The following is a 20,256-nucleotide window of genomic DNA, read 5'->3' as shown; positions in this document are numbered from 1 at the left end:
GAGGTGAATGTTACAAGACGCTAAAAGCTCTAGTCACTGAAACTTTATCACACATTTTCAAAAACATTTCCACAACATTTGCTCCACGGCCCATAATTTTAAATCATGTAACTGATGGGAACGTGGGTGTTTATTTCTGCCCACGTGCCTGTTCTCTGCTGTCCATCCTTGCCTTCACACATCACTCTCCTCTCGCCTTTTGATTTTTTGGTTCTGAATAATGTTCTCACCCTGCTTTCCTTTGTAATATTCTCATATCCCATATTATTCTTCATGGACCTATCTGGACTGTTAAGTCTAACAGAGCCTTAGGTAATGTAGTGGCCAAAAGGTGTCACCTCTGTAATCCATATAGTCTTGGAGAATATCCAACATCTGGGTCATTTGGGAGAAAAGTAAAACCCGATGGCCCCTGGCAAGAAAAAGAAAAGGAAACACTGCCAAGTCTAGTGGTATTTAAGGTCAATTTCCCTCAGGCAAAATTTACCAAACAATAAAAGTTTATAAATAAATACCAAAGTAGAAATATAAGTGTCGTATGATTTATAGACTGCCTCAGAACCTCCAAATGCTTTCTATGAGAATACACCTCCACAGGTAGCTGTATCCCTCAGAGCAGTCATCCTCAAACTAGAGTGGAGATTATTCCCAGGAGACGTGTCAATGCAACAGGGGATATAAGCCCTAGAATAAACAAGGTGCCTCTTTCTGGAATGTCAATTTGCTCAATGGAAAGAAATATAAGCTTTCATTTTAGTAGCAAAATAAATACAGATATGTGAAGAGTAAAATGCAAAATTCAAATACACACACAAAAAAAAAGAAAAGAAAAACTGGAGACTCTGAAGAAAGCCTGTGGTCAGTCATCTACAACTATGCCCTGTTTGGGGGTGTAAAGTCACTATCCTCTCATCTACAGCTATATGGGTTGAAAAGTCTGAGAAGCATTACTTTAGAGAAGCAAGGGGTAAGTGATGTCTCATTTTCCATAACACGAGAAAATTTTTGTATAGCGAGAGGAGGGAAGAAAGGCGGCAAAATGATGGAGTAAGTCAAGAACAAAGTCAAGCCTAGAGTCCCTTGTTACTGGCTGTTATTTTAAATTTGCATAAACAAAGAAGCACAGCACTGTCAAAACAATATTCTCATTATAAAAACTTATTTAATCTGAGCTTGCAACAAGTGTAAGAGGAAAAATTATGGGGAACTCTTTCAAGATTCAAGCCCCAAATGGGTAGAGAAAGCAATGAACCTGAAAACCTCAATTCTAATCTCATTTCTGCCATTTGTTGGCTGTGTGACCTTGGGCAAGTCATATAACCTTTCTGGGTCTGTGAAATAAAAAACTGGCCAGAAGGCATTTATAGGTCCTTCTCCAACTCTAACATACTTATGGCAGATATACGAGAACCAATGAAATACAGTAAGACATGAAATTATTTAACTTGCACATTCCTAAAGTTGAGCAATTTTGCCAAATCTGAAGTTTTAGATTAGTTCAGGCCATACCTAAGACAGTCATTCCAAAGGGATAATTTTGAAACCCATGGGAATCTGGGCTTTTCCTAGACTCCTCTAGAAAGAGAGAACTCTGGTGACTAGGAGGATTAGGTATAAGCTGAACACATGGCTGTTGAACACTAACTGAACCTGGTCTTTTTTTTTTTTTTTTTTTTGAGATGGAGCCTCGCTCTGTCACCAGGCTGGAGTGCAGTGGCATGATCTTGGCTCACTGCAACCTCTGCCTCTAGGGTTCCAGTGATTCTCCTGCCTCAGCCTCCCAAGTAGCTGGGACTACAGGCGCCTGCCACCACACCCGGCTAATTTTTGCATTTTTAGTAGAGACAGGGTTTCACCATGTTGGCCAAGATGGTCTCGATCTCTTGACCTCATGATCCGCCCACCTCAGCCTCCCAAAGTATTGGGATTACAGGCGCGAGCCACAGTGCCTGGCTCTGAACCTCGTCTTCTAATGCGCAACTCATGTCCCTGAGAAAGAGTCCTTCAAGTTCCCCTTAAGTTTAAATCAAACCCCACAGGTTAACAAAAATGAATGTTTACTGAGCCTTCATTATGTGTCAATTCAATGCCAAGTTACTAGCAGGCAACTATAAAAGAAATGCTCAGTGTTGTCTCTGTCCTTGTAGAGCCAAACAATATATAGTTGGAATGATAACGGTAAACATAAACACCAGTTAATCAGACAGCAGATTACGGCAGCACATTGCCAAGTGCTGGATTAGGATTATAAGTGCTGTACAAATTCAGGAAACGAAAGAATGATTGTGGAAGGGGTGGAGTGGGATAGAATGGGGTGGGAGTGTAGTCACAGAGAAGGCAGAACCTGAATCAGTGTTAAGAAAAAAAAGAAAACTGGAATTGGCCTGAACAACTCAGTGAGTTCCTCAATAGTCAGGTTTTAACAGTCATTAGCTCAGAGCAGCAAATGTGAACCTACCACCTACCCAGAATACAGGAATGCTAGTAGCTTATCCAGCAGGTGAAGCTTCCCACTAGCCTCAGTCAGGTGGTCTCCAACTTCAAAAGGCTCCGGCTCCACACCTAGAAAAGAAAGAACCCACTCCCAGTAATGTGCCCTCAGTAAGGGCAGAAGCCAGTAGCTAGGCTACAGGAAGAGAAGCCAAAAGCTCATCATATAAGTAGTTGTTTGCATGATGATCTCAGTCCTGCTTAACACCAATTACACAGCCTAGCACATCCAACAAGCCTAATAAACATCTGTGTAAGGAATAAAACCACTCTTCAGGAAACTGAGACAGAAGAAGATGCTAAAGGTCAAGGAGACCCAAAACTGAAATCGAGACTCACTCTATAAAATAAGTCAAAATGGCAGTCAGAATAACCTGGAGGACTTCTTTCAAAACCTATGTGTTCCCAACACCCCCTCCTCTTAAAAAAAGTTCTCATATGCACCTACTTGAGATTTTGTGCAATCTTTAAACAGTTCTTAGCACTATTTGGCAGAGATTCCCTTAAAATGACTGCAGCAAGCCCTCTGTACTGATCCTATCTAGAGTCTCCATGGCCACAGGAGTGCTTGCTCCAAGGGTTACCAATCAGGGAATCAAAAAAGCCCCAGTATGAAGAAAAACAAAAACACCACACATCAAAATTCCTAGGATGCAGCTAAAGCGGTGCCCAGGGGAAAATTTACTGAGGTCTGTATGATGAAGGGGAAGCAACAAAGGAGACTGAGAAGGAGCAGATGGAGAAGAGAAAGTATATCCCAGAAGCTGAGGGACGAAAGTGCTTCAAGAAAGAAGTGATTAGCTGTGCCAAAGGCTTCTGAGAGGGTAACTGAAATGTGAACTAACAAATAACCATTGGTTGGGCAACAGGGAGATCATTAGTGAACCTGGAGTAGCGGTGAGGAAAGGCTGACTGAGTCAATTCAAGACAATGGGAAATCTAATCAAGAAGAAATGATTTTTAAGAACCCAGCTTATCATGCATTCCACAAAACCACTGGTCTTGACTCTTCATGTAATGAAAGAAAAAAAACGCTGAAGAATGTTTCTAGATTATAGAAGAATAAAGAGACATGGCAAATGCAATGCAGGGTCTGCAGGATCTAGGACTGGATCGTGGATTTAACAAAAAAAGAAAAATATAGCCAGAAGGGATATTACCGGGACAACTGAAGATATCTGAACATGAATATATGAGTTAATACCAATACAGAGAAATTGAGAATAAACAAAGTAGACAAAGTAAGTATATGCAATTATTTTGAAGAATTTTGGTATGATTTGGCCACAGAAACATTACCAAAGAATAATGTGGGGGGAAAAGGCACTGTCTCACCATCAAACAAATATGGGTGATCCACACACTTTCGAAGCTGGGACAAAATGTTCTGTAGTTTAACTTTCTTTGCCGTCTCATTTTCAAATGCATCTGAAATTTAAAAAAAAAGAGAGAGACAGAAAGAGATGGCCTACTGAACAAAACAGAAACCAAAACCCTGAGTTTTTACAAGTAACCTTAATCATTTCAATTATATCCTTTGAACCTATACTAACCTCCCAAATTTCACTGAATTGTATTGAGAATTAACAGCATGTTCACATAAAATTTTCTCAACCATTTTGTTTTAAGAAAGACCCTCAACTGTAAATAGAACTCAGAAGTACTCTGTTACTCTTTTGCAAATTCTAAATTTTCTTTAACTGTTGTTGTGGAGTCAAGGGACAAAAAAGTGCAATTTGAGAAATTATTTCACTATCTTTCCCTTGTCACTTCCAATTCCTCCCAGTGAATTTGATTCAACAAAAAAGTTTTGCACTCTCTTAAATACAGCAGTTCCCCCTTACCCATGGGGAATATGTTCCAAAACCCCCAGTGGATATTGGAAACCATGGATAGTACCAAACCCTATATGTATTCTGTGTTTTTTCCCATACATACATACCTATGATAAAGTTTAATTTGGCACAGTAAAATATTAACGTCTCATAATAAAATACAACAATTATAACAATATTCTATTCACAATGTCACAGACAGAAGATTTGTTCTTACCAATCTCAGCATATAATTGTTTTTCATTTTTTTATTGAGAACTTTAACCTTTTTTGCTTAAAGGAAGCACTTTATGGCTTCTTTAGAATATCCAAAATGCAGGCATCACTACTCTTGTGCTTTGGGGCCATTTTTAAGTAAAATAAAGATCAGTTGAACAAAAGCACTGTGATACCATGACTATTGGACTGATGACAGAGCAGGCTACTAACGCTGACGGCGTGGATACGCAGAACAAAAGGAGGATTCATGTCCTGGGTGGAACAGAGTGAGATTTCATCATGCTACTAACAACAGAGTTTGATTTAAAATTTATGAATTATTTTTGGAATCTTCATTTAATATTTTCAGACTGCAGTTCAGTGCAGAACTGAAACCCTGGAAAGCAAAACTGTGAATGAGGGTGGACTACCGTATCTGACAGGGTGGGAGGATGAAAGACATGACTGGGACACCTGGAAGTGTTTGCTTAATTACAGGCACTAAGAAAAACTGAGTGAGGGGAGAAAAGGAAATTTCACAACTGCAACAACCAAGGCTGTTATCTTTAAGATGCTCTGCCACAGTCCCACTGTAGCCGACCAGAATTATTCAGAATACAAAATTCCATCCCATATTCTTGGGATCATACAAATGAGTGTGATTATAAAATATTTTACTACCTGAAATCACATCCTCATTTAGTTTCTAAATGGACAAGTGCCCTCTGATTACCTAGGTCTTTCATCAAAATGGCCTTGTAGTATTTCTTCTGCAATGCTGACATGCCATGGTATATCACTACTTCTGTCTTCTTGGGAAGCTCTGTAGCTACCTCAGCTTTCACTCGCCTCAGCAGAAATGGCTGCAAGAGTTTGTGCAGTTCACTTGCTACATAAGAAAAAAAAATACAAGAAGTGTGGGACAAAAGTAGAACCAAGGCAATGAACCCTAGAGAACTTAAAGAAATTTATTTTTGTTTCTTATTTCACGCTTATTTTGCATTCTAGGCCAGTATGATCATTTTTTTATAGTATTTCTTCCTTCATTGGGATCATCTTTTTTCTGGAATCATGACTTGTTCTTAGCCCAAGAACGAGGAACACTCAAATAACTTCTTATCTCATTTGCACAAAGCTGTTTTGTTTCCAGAATATTTTTGCGTTTAATCTCATTGATCAGCATAACAGCTTAGAAATTTCAAGTGAGGAATACTGTCCCCATTTTTATAGCTAAGTTAAGTGAGGCTCAGAAATTAGGCAACTTATCCAAAGTCACACAGCTGGATGTGAATGTGGCCAGCATTCAAATTTGGCTCTTTGACTTAAAATCCCTTCTTTCCCCAGATGTCTTGAATTTCAAAAATTATTCTAAATTAGAATTATACTACCTGTAGGATTGCCAGATATGCAAATGGAAATACAGATGCCCAGTTAAACTTGAATTTCAAATAAATAATGAATAACTTTTTAACACAAGTGTGTCCCATGTAATACAAGTATGTCATGCATTTGACTAGAAGTCTTATATTTTGTCAGGTAACCCAAAACATGGGAGTAATCAGAGCAGGTTCGCCAGGTGATCTTCAGTCTATGGTCTGGAGATTTTTGCTATGAGAAGCCCCCTCAAACTCATACTTACCCAACACATACAAACTCACTAGTTGGCATACCTCCTACCTGTTTTGAAAAATCATCCCAGGATAATATCACAGGGATAGATGGATAATCCTACAACACAGAGGGGCAAAGGTACAAGAACAGAAGACTACAACTCTTGGCTGTATGAATGAGGAAGGGTTCCCATCCCAGAATTCTGGTTTTGGTGCAGCATTAAAAGAAATACCAGTGCTGTAGTATGCTGAACAGTAGTTTGGGACTACAGCACCCACATTCTTTTCTCCCTCAGGAAGTGACTTATAAAGTTAACAAAGCCTTTATAGAAATTACAAGTTGGAAAAAAAAGTCTGCAAATCAGCAGGCACTTTCTATTTCTTCCAAAAATGAACTAAAGAAGCCCTACTGCAGAATCAAATAGCAAACAATTAAGAGAGGCATGAACAGCAGACAACTGGGAACAACATGTGTGACTTAACATCTCCCTAATATCAGCGGTCTGTCTCCCTGGAAGGTGTCCTCTGGTCATCAATTCTCCTTCTTTTCTACCTATAACCATTATGCATGAGGATGGTTTCTGTGCCAAGGCTTCTTGGGGATGATTTGCAGGAAAGGAACTTGCCTGACTCAGATTCTTTCTCAATATCCTGGTAGCGTTGAATAAAATCTCCCACCTCTTCCTTGGAAAAGAGATCAGGCTCCACAAAACTGAGGAGGGAGTAGAGCTCTTGGAGGCTGTTCTGGATGGGAGTTCCGGTCAACAGGAGACTGAAGACTACTGAGAACTCAAATACATAAATAAATAAAATAAAAATTCCATAACACTGGAATGCAAGGCTGAGTTACCCATCACAACCTTTACCCACACAGAGAGAGGCATGATTTAATGAAATGACTGAGGGGACATGAAATCAGATGGCTCAGGTTGAAGCTGCAAACTAGCTGTTTGATGCAGATGAAATAATACCTCTTCAGTTTCAACTATAAGAAGGGGACAATAATCCTGTGAAGAAAACACTTATATAAGGATGTAGTAACACTTTGTGAACTCTGAAGTATTGCATGAGAATTTAATATGGCTGTTATTACTGAATTTAGATGGGGATTCAAACTATGTGTTACTGCCTGTGTCGGGGAGTCTACTGAGGTATCTGAGACACAATGCACATGCTCATGCAGTTTGAGAATCCAACGCTACAGCATCAGGCCCCACCACTGCAAGCAATAAGTAAGATTTATAATAGGAGACTTTCCTTTTATAAAATTTAATGGTGCATCAGATGCAAGATGTCAAGATTTCTGGATGTTTCTGGACACAGCACCACAGAGAATCTTAAATGGAAAAAAAATTTCCTTAAATTTTCAACAACAAAGAAGAACACCAAGATGCAAGATGTCAAGATTTCTGGATGTTTCTGGTGATCACAGAGAATCTCAAATGGAAAAAAAAAGTCCTTAAATTTCGAACAACAGAGAAGAACACCAAGAGTAAGAGAGACATGAAGTAGAAGGTTAGGAAGGTTCTGGTGTCTCTGGAGATCACAGAGAATCTCAAATGGAAAAAAAATGTCCTTAAATTTTGAACAACAGAGAAGAACACCAAGAGTAAGAGAGACATGAAGTAGAAGGTCAGGAAAAAGAAGAAAAGATATTAGGTCAAGCAAAAGATATTCTCTAAACTGACATTCACAAGAATTTAGTAGAATTAAACAATACATCAAAATGAGGAAGCCATATCTTGACATCTTGTGTATGTATATCTTTTTTTTTTTTTTTTTGAGACAGGGTCTTGCTCTGTCACCCACGCTGGAGTACAGAGGCATGATCTCGGCTCACTGTAACCTCCTCCTCCCGGTTCAAGTGATCTTCCCACTTCAGCCTCCCCAGTAGCTGGAGCTACACACACTCACCACCACATTCAGCTAATTTCTTAAATTTTCTTATAGCGACAAGGTCTCACTATGTTGCCCAGGCTGCTTTTGAACTCCTGGGTTCAAGTGATCTTCCTGCCTCGGCCTCCCAAAGTGCTAGGATTACAGGTGTGAGCCTGTAATTACAGCCTGTTTTAAATGTCAAAACATAGTATGTAAACGTATATATACATATGTATGTATGTAAGTGTATCTATGCACATACATACATATGTATATACACATTTACATACATGTATGTATACACGTATATACACAATATTTTGATATTTAATATACATTTTGACTTTTTAAATAATATATATGCATATATACATTACTTTTTGAATGTATACACACAGCAAAGATTATGGCAGCACATACACCATTAAACCATTAAAGTGTTAATGTAGGAGTAGGATTACTGGGATGTTTTCCTTTTCTTCTTGTCTTTCTATATTTTGATTTGGAGGGGGGGCCATAGGAAGACACTGCTTTTATAATACAAAAAATGATAAATGAATAACACAATCAATGAAAACAGATGTAAACAATTTTTTTTTTTGCCATCTCCCTTTTTTATTTGTTTCTTTTTAAATGTCTAATCAATGTCTACCCATTCATGGTTGTTCTGCTTGTTAGGTGATGTTTTTGTAGTATTTCAAGTATGGGAACTTGTCAAAAGTAATGTTTCCAATCATCAGTTCACATTCTTACAATATGTGTTCACCAAGTAAAGAGCTGAGGTGAATGAAGGCTGTGAGGTCACAAAGGAAACCAAGGCTGCTAGTCGCTACAGGTAACTTACCCTATGACACAAATTAACATTTTGATTCAGTTAGGTCCATTTTGGGATCAAAATTTATAACTGGGTAAAGATTCAGAGACCATCTCTGTTTGTAAATAGTATTTTGTAAGCTTTTTTGTGTGTGTATAAAATACTTTGCAAACATTTTCCATGTTATTAAATATTCTTCTACATAATTGTTCTTGGTAGCCTTACCTTTTGCAAATGCACTGCATGAATGTCGCATAAATTGTACAACCAATTCCCTATATTTTACATTTAGGTTGCTTCCAACTATTTTTTTTTTTTTTTTTGAGACAGAGTCTCGCTCTGTCGCCCAGGCTGGAGTGCAGTGGCGCAATCTCGGCTCACTGCCAGCTCCATCTCTCAGGTTTACGCCATTCTCCTGCCTCAGCCTCCCAAGTAGCTGGGACTACAGGCGCCCACCACCATGCCCAGCTAATTTTTTGAATTTTTTAGTAGAGACGGGGTTTCACCGTATTAGCCAGGATGGTCTCGATCTCCTGACCTCGTGATCCACCCATCTCAGCCTCCCAAAGTGCTGGGATTACAGGCGTGAGCCACTGCGCCCGGCTGGTTGCGTCCAACTTTTATAAACTGAAAACAATATTAGGGGGAAATAAAAAACGGCAGTATCCCCCTCCCCATCTCAGCCCAATAAATACATGTATTTTCTTTCCAACTAGTTATCTGCAACCCAAGCTTCATCTAAAAAGGAATGCTTAGATGACCCAGAACCATTTCTTCACTTAATCCCTGAGCCTTAGTTTCCTTATGAATAACAAGAAAAGGCTCTGGGGCCAGCAACAGAACTTAGCTTTCCCACTCCAAATCCAGGTTCTTTTACTATGCCTGCTTCTCTCCTCCCGTTTTAAATTAGTAAACTGGCACAGTAGTTTATGAAGCCATCTTTCATAAGGTTAGATGCCAGGATATGACAACTGCTATGGATTGAATGTGTTTCCTTCAAAATTCAGGTGTTGTCAATGTAATATTATTAAGAGGTAGCGCCTTTAAGAGGTGGTTAGTTCATAAGAACTTTTCCCTCGTGAATAAGATTAAGGCCTTTATATATAAAAAAAAAAAAGTGTCATGCAGCATTTGGATAGCTTGCTCTTCTGCTCCCTCTTGCCCGTCCACCTTCTGTCATGTGAGGATGCAGTTAAGAAGGCTCTTGCCAAATGCTGGCACCTTGATCTTGGACTTCCCAGCCTCTAGAACGGTGATAAATAAATTTCTGCTCATATGAATTACCCAGTCTGTGAAAAACAGACCAAGACAAGCTCTCAGAAGGAGATACTGTTAAAAGTCCCTACAAAGAAAGCAAAGGACACCAGGGATAGAGGGGGCCCCACCAGGGGACAGCGACCTTTGAGACTGGGCTAATAATACACAGTGATCGTATCTACATTAAGACTCTAAAAACTACAACTTTCAGACCAGTAAAAATAGAATTCATATCTAAGACTTTCCTCCAAGTGACCTCTAAATTTATTAATTGGTTTATTATAGGACAAGGACCAAACTTCAATTATCATCACAGAAATTAACATATGTGGTCTCATCAATGAACAAATCTTTACCAGGTCAATAAAAAGGGTATTTCACATCGCACTGACTCCTCGGAAAAAAGGGCCCATCTAGGGTACAATGGTATTTCTCATCTACTTTGCCAGAATGATGCAAGAGATCCAGAGAAAGGAATGAAAGCAAGTGTATTATGCTCAAAAGTAGGACAAAGACAAGACAAACTGGAGGTAATATTCAATAGCATGTAATTGGTCTCTTCATGAACCCAGGTGAACTATCAAATTTTTTCAACAGGTAAATTGGGGGGAAGGGTACAACATGTCTGATATATCTACTATTGCACAAAGAAGAATTATAATAAGATTTTTTAAGAGAAATTGTTCCTTTGAAGATAATCAAAAGAGAGTTGAAACATCTGAAATAAAATGCATTCTATTGGGGTAGGGTTCTTATTCACCAGATATTAGTAAACCTATCTCCAATATAAAAGAAAGAAGAAGTTAGGCCATATTTAGTACTTCTTCTGTCTTCTATAAAATGTTCATTTAGCCCTGCAGAAATCGAACTCGAAAAAAGGTTTCAATTTAATTGACTCTATATAGGCCTAAACTAGTATTTTTTAAAGGGAGTTACGAAGAAAAGATGAATATGTGGAGCACATAGGATTTTTAGGGCAGTGAAACTACTCTGTATGATACTATAACAGTAGATATCATGGTATTGTACATTTGTCCAAACCTACAGAATGCACACCACCAAGAGTGAACCCGAATGTAAACTATGGACTTTGAGTGATAGCGATGTATCAATGTAGGTTCATCAGTTGCAACAACTGTGCCACTCTGGTGGGGTATGTTGATAATGGGTGAAGCTGTACAAGTGTGGGGACAGGGGACAGCTGTACATGTGTGGGGACATATGCATGGGAAACATCTGTAGTTTCTGTTCAATTTTGTTGTGAATCTAAAATTACTCTAAAATATAATGTATATTTAAAAAGAAGGGGTTATATAAAAACTAAGGCTACACTGTAAGTTTACCTCTGACAAGGTCTTATGCAGCAGGGAGCTTTGGTTTTTCAACCTGTGAGCTTCATCCACAACAAGAACACTCCAAGGGAATCTGTGAGAGAAAACCCAAGCTTTCAGTTTTGTGTAATTTAAACACATATTTCACAATCAAAAGTCTTACTACAAAACTGTGACTGTTATTAAAAAGACTTAACAGTAAGCCCCTTCTATTACAAATGCCACCAAATTACCTTCCTGAGAGGCTACATGTGCATAATACAATATCTGGATAAGGTAGTAAAACCAAGGGATTTTTTTTTTTAACAAAATGGGAAAGACCTATGCAGAAAGGAAGAAGCCAGAGACAGAAAGGAAAAGGAAACATTTATGATCTCCTACTTTGTGCCAGACACTAACCTCAGGGCTTTATGTGTTATTTAGTCTAAAAGAGTATAGCAAGCAGACAATTGTGCTCATTTTACTAATAAAGACACTAAAGCTCAGAAAGGTTAGGTGACTTGGTGAAGGTCATAAAGACAGAGCTGATGTTCAAACAGAAGAAAAAAATCAAGATAGACAGTGGTGTTGTAGGAACTTAAGAAGTGTGACTTTAAAATGGGTAAGTGGTGAGCAGAGTCAAATCTCACAGAGATGTCCAGGAAGATATATCCACTGAATTTGTTGACATGGAAGTCATTAGTGGCTGTTGCCAGAGCACATTTTGTAGCATACTGTGTCACATCAGCAATTTCTCAAGAAGTTTCAGTCATAAAAGCAAATACTTTGACAGATACTACTGAGAAGCTATTTAAGAAAAATTCAAAATACAGAAAAAGATATATGTGGGAATGTTTCAAGTTGTATTATTTAAAACAGCAAAAAATGGAAAATAACCTAAATGTCCAATAATAGGTAGTAAAATATTACATGGCATTTTAAATAATAAATATGATTATGTTGCAATTTAAAAGGCCTATAGAATAATAAAAAAGATATAAATATCATGTATCCTCTTTTACAAATGTGAAAGCCATGCAAAAGATAATAAAGTGAAAATTATAAGATGTTTAACTTTTTATTTTGATTATAAACATTCTGGAATCCCATTACATTATTTTCATATTTAAAAAACTAAATGTATATACAGGTAAAACAGAACACTGGAAAAATAGTAGGTATGGAAAGGAAAATTCCTCCAAAATTAGAGAAAGATCTTGAGCAGAGGTTCACCTTACAAGGAGGAGGCCCTCTTCCTGAGGCTACAGAGAAACTCCAGAGGACAGGCAGAGGAACAGAGGTCCCTATGACATTACCATTCACCTACTGAGAGAAGCGAGTAGAGGGAGGACTGAGGGTCCAAAGAGAGTGCAGGAAGTCGAAGGAGAAGGTTGGGTGGCATGAGCAGAGGATGCATTTAAGGATGACAAGAAACAAAGGTCCAGTTGAAGTTGCACAGTGGTCATGAGATAAGGTATGGAAGTTTCTCTAGGATGGTGCCTGGCTCTGTCTGAATTAGCTTTCAAAACAGATTAGGTCCTATTCCCTTGTGAAGAACTAGACATTTAGGTGTCCAAAAAATGCTTGTTCAGTGAAACAGGCTACAGAGTGGTGGATTTTGGCTCATGAAAGGAAGTGGGTCAAATCACTTATCAAAGGATACTCTAAATGATGTCCCCTGAAGAGGAAAAGATGGGGGAAATCCAGCACTGAATGGAAAGTTGGATGAGGTAACTTCTAATCCTCTTGATCCAAAGAGTTTTACAAGTCTATTGTCCAAAACATTTCAAATTTTTCATATTTGTAACATGCACAGCCTTAACTCTCCATAATAAATCTCTTTAGGGCAGAGATGATATTACACTTCCCTGCTATTCTCAGAATGTACAATACAGCAATAAGCAATATAACCTTCCAAATATATTGAAAGAATGTATCTATGTTGTTGGGATTCATACTACAGGACAGCATTATAAATGTCCCTCTGTTACTTAGGTTTTTAAATCTACCTGAAAATGCACTGAAAACCGATTATCTGAAATAGAAAGATTCTATTTCTGCTGAATAATGTAAAACTCCAGTACAACTAGCTATTTTGAGAAGTTCTCTTAAAAAGAGGCTCCACAGCACCAAATGCTGGGTTTAAATGTCTGCTCTGCTATTTATCATCAGCAATGTAACCTTGGATGGGTTACCAAATCTCTTATTTTCCTCACCCGTAAAATGAATAATAGCTGCCTCGTGGGGTTTTCATGAAAATTAAATGGGATAATTTATGTAAAGTACCCAGCAACATTTATGTCCCAATTTTATTATCTTTTGAGACTTCCCATATATTGCTATGTATTATGGATATCTGTACACTTCTCATCCCTCCACTGGAGTTTGTCTTCTTAGGGAAGCTCTATGATTTACTTTCCTGATATTGCCAATAACTCTCAGAACAATGTCTTTCCAGTGACTGACTTTCAACAAATATTAAGTTGAATATTAATAATAAAAAGAGAGGGAATGTATATCTTAAGAAAAATAAGATAATATGCTCACTTAAATGAAATACTAGATAGAAGTCATGAAATCTATGACCTAGCCTCTAGTATTTCAAAATAACATGAAAATAGAAATCCAGCTCACAGGAACCTGGATAAGAAATAACATTTAAAATATTGATAAAATACTTTGAAAACAAAGATTTTTGAATATTAAAATACAGAATATCCACCTAACCATGTAATAACTACAGAGGTTATAGAGAATGAAACCCTGTCAACATATCTTTCTTACCTAAACTCTAGCCCTTATTTAATCTGCATTGTAACTGTTATCTTGACATGATCCTATCATTCCCATTATTAGGTGGTATTGCTGAGTTTCTGATTTCATGGGCCAATATGAGGTTAACTAATTAGAGGTACACTTAAAACTCCCTTTCTAAAAAGTTAATTCCACGGCACTGATTGCTATTTTAGGTTATGTCCAGCAAACAGCTCAAATGGTTCTCCTTCTGTATTACAGCAAACTCTCCAAATGGTAGTACTGAAAGGGGTCTATGCAAGTTGCATGTAAAGAGCCTAATATCTATTAACCATACAAAGTATATTTAATCTCATTTAATTTTCGTAACAGCTATTTGAGGTAAGAAACAATTATCCTCATTTTACAGATGAAGAAGCTGAAGTTCATGGAGATTAAATAACTAACCCAAGGACACACAGCTAATGAGTAGAGGACTGTAAACACAGGACTCCCACCATGCCGCCTACCCATAAACAGAACTCATGGAAGACATACCAGACATGCCAGGAGAGGCAAAGTACTAAAACGTGAAGGAAAGACATGACATTCATAATACATTCAACCCAAGTTCTTAAATAGTACAACCTACTCACGATTTTAGAAATGATGCATCTTTCAAGCAAATCTGAAAAATTAGGAAGACACGTTATAAAGGCTGGCATTGATAAACTCTGATATTGATAAGCTAGTTTTCTGTGAACTCTCTTAAACTATAGGATTTATCTAAGTCTCATTTGTTCACTAAGTAAAAAAAAGTTCTGAGAATAATTTCTAAGTAGCGCCATCTTAAAAACAAAGAGAAAAGCCTGATTAAGTGGAAGGTCAGTGGCACACACTGTCTTAGACTGAAAAACAAGGATTTAAAATAAGGCCGGAGCTGTCTTCCATTCCTATCCTCCAGTAACAGACGTGATTCCTCAGTCCACAAAACCCTTTCCCCTGCCTGCCTGCCTGACTTCTGTTCATCAACCAAGAGGCAGCTCAAGTGCCACTTCCTTGAGAAGCCTTCCCCCTTGATCCACCAAGAAAGGAAAAGATCGAACTAATCTGAAGCACAATGATCCTTCACTTCTTTTGGTTACAGCCCTCTTTTGAGAATCTGATGAAGGTAGACTCCCTGCCCAGAAAAGTGTGTGCTCTCAACAAAACTTAAATATAATTTCAGCAGACTCTACAACTTCTAAGGTCACAGGTTAGGAGTTCTCGCTATAGAGAAACGAATGAATACCTCATAGGTAGTCAGTAGCACATGAAAACGTGACTCCTGTTTCAGGTCTTGCTGAAGGCAGGCTCTTTCCTCCTTGTCGCCTGCATATGTTACACAGGAAAGACCTGGAGCAAATCTGAATCCAAGAAAAGAAGTAGATAAACATAAATACTAGATCCATGTGACAGGATGTGCATATCTGGAAAATTACATTTCATGGGAGGATTGCAATGTACAGAACTCATGAGGTCCTACAACCAGAGTCTTGGGGCTCTGAATCTTATCTAAAAAAATGGTTGAACCTCAGAGCGAGTTCCTATGTGAACAGGTAGAGGGATCAGATCTAAAAAGGTCTTGTGCTGACTCTAAAAATAAAACGATCTCTTCCACATGAGTTACTTCCTACGTCACTATGAAAAATAGGCCGGGCGCGGTGGCTCACACCTGTAATCCCAGCACTTTGGGAAGCTAAGGCGGGCAGATCACATGAGGTCGGGAGTTTGAGACCAGCCTGACCAACATGGAGAAACCCGGTCTCTACTAAAAATACAAAATTAGCCAGGTGTGGTGACGCACGCCTGTAATCTCAGCTACTTGGGAGGCTGAGGCAGGAGAATCACTTGAACCTGGGAGGCAGAAGTTGTGGTGAGCCAAGATCGTGCCATTGCACTTCAGCCTGGGCAACAAGAGCAAAACTCTGTCTCAAAACAAACAAACAAAAAACAATGGCTTCTACTAAGTTCATCAATACTTACTACAAACGATTGCTGACCTTTAAATTGCCAAATAGTAATAATATTACTCTTCCCCTATTATATCCTCAGTGTCTACCTACACTCTATCAGCTCAAAGTTTTCTGGAATAAACTTACTAATTACGACAATAGGTTGTTTTATCATATTTTATACATCATCCAGAAAAAAAATCTTAATCAAGATAAACAATAAAATTTCAGCTACATCTACTCTGTACCTCTGCATTTCTTCTTTCCAGTTGCTCAAAACAGACAAGGGACAAAGAATCAGAAATGGCCCTTCATCATTTAATCTTCCTGCCAAATAAATGAAGAGAGCAATAGTCTGGAACACAGAAAAAGAAAGGCAGTTTTGATCACATTTCCCCATGAGAAACAACCATGAAGTTCCCACAACCCTGTAGGGAACACACACTCTTGTTTAAGACTTGTTTTACAAAGAAATATTGTACGAACTTCCGCATATCAGGGGAGTAATCCATTCGTAGAGCGAAATCATGTAAGCCTCAATATACTTGCACGGAAATTTATGGAACTCAATTACTTCAGTAGTTAACAAGCAATGAGGCTCAATGTTTAGGTAATTGAACCTCTACTGTAAAGAAAAAGTCAGGAAAGACAATAGAAATCAATGAAAATCCAACTGATGGCCAAGATCTGCGATACTCTGAAAACATTAAGCAAGAAGTGCCAAGATATGACTGTAAAAACGGCCAATCGCATGGTGGCCCTCTGCTGCCTGCCAGGCTTTCCCGAGTGAGGGAGGATGCTTTCCTTCCTCCCTCACTTCCTCCCACCTTCCCCTACTGTCTTCCTTTCTTCCATATGTATTTACAGGGTGTCTTCTATTTGCTAGGCACTGTCCTATGCTCCAGTTATACAACAGTGAACAGAACCGACAAAACGCCCAGCCCTCCTGGAGGACACATTCTAACGGGGAAAACAGACAATACACGATCCTAAGCTTAAGGAAGGGTATAAAATGGAAATATTGGTAAAGGCAAATGGGCATACTTCAGAAGATTCTAGTACACACTTATGACTTGAATGTTGCTGTAATATACAGAGAAAATAACCTATTTTAAAACAAAAATGTGTCAAGAGACTCCATCTTCAAATGCTGAGCTATTTCTGAGAAAAATCTGTCCTAAGGATATAATTCAAAATCCTGAGAAAGCTACAAGCACAAAGATGTTCCTATCAAGATTAAACAGCACAAAAAGGGGAGGAATCACCATTTCTCGTCTGTAGAACATTTAAGTAAATTATAAATTCTCTTGATGGAATATTATGCAATGTTGATAATGACTGTGAAGAATATAACGAAGTAAAAAATTACAGTGACACTGTTAGATTAACAAAATACAAACTATATACGCACTATAATTTCAACCATGGGCTGGGTGCAGTGGCTCACGCCTGTAATCCCAGCACTTTGGGAGGCCAAGGCAGGAGGATCACTTGAGCCCATAAGTTCAAGGCCAGCCTGGGCAACATAGTGAGACCTCATCTCTACAAAAAAATTTAAAAATAAGCTGTGCATGGTGGCATGCGCCTGTAGTCCCAGCTACTCAGGAGACTGAGGATTCCTTGAGCCTGGGAGGCAGAGGTTGCAGTGAGCCAAGATCATGCCACTGCATTCCAGCCTGGGTGACAGAGCAAGACCCTGTCTCAAAAACAAAAGTTCAATCATGCAAAACACGCATTGCAACTCATGGTTATGGTTAGAGTGCTTGATTACAGGGTGGTAGGTAGTTTTTATAACAGAAATAATTTTCTTTTTAAATTATCTATGGCTTCTCAGCCCAAGCTGTGCCAGGAACCATTCTTTAATAAGTGGCTTATTGAATTAAAACCATTCAGTCTAGCTTTCCCTGAGGATGCAATTTAGAGAAAGTTTATCTTTTATTACTATAAACCAGATGTGTCTACAAAACAAGTGTGGAGTTACTAGTGAATTCTAGCAAGAATTTAAGGAAGAAATTAACAGCAATTCTACATAAACTCTTCCAGAAAATGGAAGAGAAGGGCATACTTCTCAACTCATTCTACAAGGCCAGCTTTACCCCAATACTAAAATTAGATAATGACACTACAAGAAAATTACAGACCAATGTCTTTCATGAACATAGATGCAAAAAGTCTAAACAAAATTTTAGCAAAACAAATTTGGAGGTGATATCTTTTTAGAGAGCTTAAAGCAGAGCTATGTGAACATCCAAAGAAAGGACAAGTAGCATTTGCTGGCCCTGAATAAAGTCAGTAGGGGAACTGCAATGACTGAGGCAGAGAAGACTGTACAGGGAAGGCCCTTTCCCGGTGCAAGAGCCAGTTAGCCTGGATCCCAGGGACATTTGTGAAACTGAGCTTTGTTTTAGCTCCAGAGCTCTCAGCTCCAGAATGAGTTATAAGGAAGTATCGCAGTGGCGGTGAGCAGTACTCGTCGCATAGTAACACACCTGGCAGGTCTTCCCCAGGCCCATCTCATCTCCCAGGATACAGCCATTCTGACAATGGAAGCGCTGGGCGAGCCAGTTTACTCCCTCCAGCTGGTAAGAGCGTAGGTGAATCCCTAGAAACAAAAAATACAGCAAATCCGAAGAGCAGACATTTCAGTACATGCAGAGGCAATGTTCTAAGAGTTTGAATGAGGAACACAGCCTAAATTCACATAACCCTAAACCTCACTGGACGTATCTTTTGCTGAGGAGTTATGGATATCTAAACATCTGCTGACTTCCAAACTACTTTTTGAGCAGACTTATTCACCTTTATATTCAAAGCCCCAAAGTAGCCTGTCATTGTTACCTGATTCACTTGATAAATGAGAAAGTCAACTTGGGATCTGGCCTCTATACTGCCTGAGACTCACACCAGTGTCCATTCTGGGAAATGAGGCATTACTGATGCAACTTAACAAAGAGCAACAACACATGGATTGTACATGTGTCTGCTTGTTTAATTGCACCCATTTAAATATGCCATCAATGCTAAAGGAAAAAACTTAGGACTACACTGAATAATGCTTCAACACAGAAGCGCTGTTTTTAAGAATGGAAATGATGTTTCACAAAGGGTATTTAACTGTGTACAGGGATGGCAGAAAACGTGTGAAATTAATACGGAACTTACTCTCTTTTCTCTTTCCCTTGGTGAAAAAAATCCAATTTCAAAGAATAGCCATATCTTGGGAAGGTGAAAGACCTTAAACATACTTTATATAAGAACTATTAGCAAAAACATAACTATCTGGTTTAACTTATACCTTTAAAAAAATCTTCAAAATACATAATTGTACAAAATTTAAAAAATAAGTTATTTTTCTTAGGCACTTACAAATACCAGAGTAGTAGTAAACACTTTACATAAATTACAGTATCTCACGCCTGTAATCCCAGCACTTTGGGAGGCTGAGGCAGGCAGATCACCTGAGGTCAGAAGATCAAGACCAGCCTGGCCAACATGGTGAAAACCTGTCTCTAATAAATAATACAAAAATTAGCTGGGTGTAGTGGCGGGCACCTGTAATCCTAGCTACTTGGGAGGCTGAGGCAGGGGGAATTGCTTGAACCCGGGAGGCGGAGGTTGTAGTAAGCCGAGATCGCGCCACTGCACTACAGCCTTGGCAACAGAGCGAGACTGTCTCAAAAAAATAATAATAAAAATAAATAAATAAATTACAGTATCTCATTTAATGCTTATAATGATTCTATGGAGTAGGTATTATCCCCATTTTATAATCAGAAAATTCAGAGATTTCTGTTTCTGATGGGAGTATACTTACTTTCCCTTATTCCTCTTGCTAAGTACAAATAAAAACCCTAGACATGCTACAGAAAACAAGCATAAAACTCTGAAAGGTGTAGTGAAGAAGCAGACTGGCTAGGGACCTTGGGCCTGCGGAAGGCAGGGTAGTAAGTTCCCTGGAATTTATTTTTGCTTTATATATCCCAGTCTGACAGTTCAAGAAATCAGCCAACTGGAAACACCAACTGATGTAGACCAAAACCAAAACAAATAAGAACACCTCCCAATATTAGTCTCTTCTCATGCTGCTAATAATACCTGAGATTGGGTAATTTATAAAGGAAAGAGGTTTAATTGACT

The 20,256-nt window shown here is 38.6% G+C and overlaps 1 protein-coding gene across 38 annotated transcripts in view; it reads right to left on the bottom strand.

Annotated features, from left to right (window-relative positions):
- Positions 1–20,256, bottom strand: part of CHD1L (chromodomain helicase DNA binding protein 1 like) — a 123,016-nt gene that overhangs the window by 24,419 nt on the left and 78,341 nt on the right. For 4 of the 38 annotated variants that reach the window (NM_001348451.2, NM_004284.6, XM_047435001.1 and 1 more), the window contains 10 exons: positions 18,609–18,721; positions 16,368–16,474; positions 15,417–15,531; positions 14,782–14,813; positions 11,426–11,507; positions 6,760–6,922; positions 5,257–5,412; positions 3,826–3,918; positions 2,466–2,562; positions 339–412 (listed from right to left, as the gene is read on the bottom strand). In NM_001348451.2, coding sequence (NP_001335380.1) covers positions 339–412; positions 2,466–2,562; positions 3,826–3,918; positions 5,257–5,412; positions 6,760–6,922; positions 11,426–11,507; positions 14,782–14,813; positions 15,417–15,531; positions 16,368–16,474; positions 18,609–18,632 — 943 coding nt within the window. In that variant the 5' untranslated portion in view covers positions 18,633–18,721. The remainder of the gene's footprint in view (positions 1–338; positions 413–2,465; positions 2,563–3,825; positions 3,919–5,256; positions 5,413–6,759; positions 6,923–11,425; positions 11,508–14,781; positions 14,814–15,416; positions 15,532–16,367; positions 16,475–18,608; positions 18,722–20,256) is intronic. The other 34 variants (NR_145686.2, NR_145682.2, NR_046070.3 and 31 more) reach the window with 31 other exon arrangements.

This window comes from Homo sapiens, chromosome 1 (genome assembly GCF_000001405.40).
Source record: "Homo sapiens chromosome 1, GRCh38.p14 Primary Assembly".
Taxonomy (NCBI): Eukaryota; Metazoa; Chordata; class Mammalia; order Primates; family Hominidae; genus Homo; species Homo sapiens.
The sequence above is the reverse complement of the archived record's forward strand: the minus strand, read 5'-3'. Positions and strand labels throughout refer to the sequence as shown.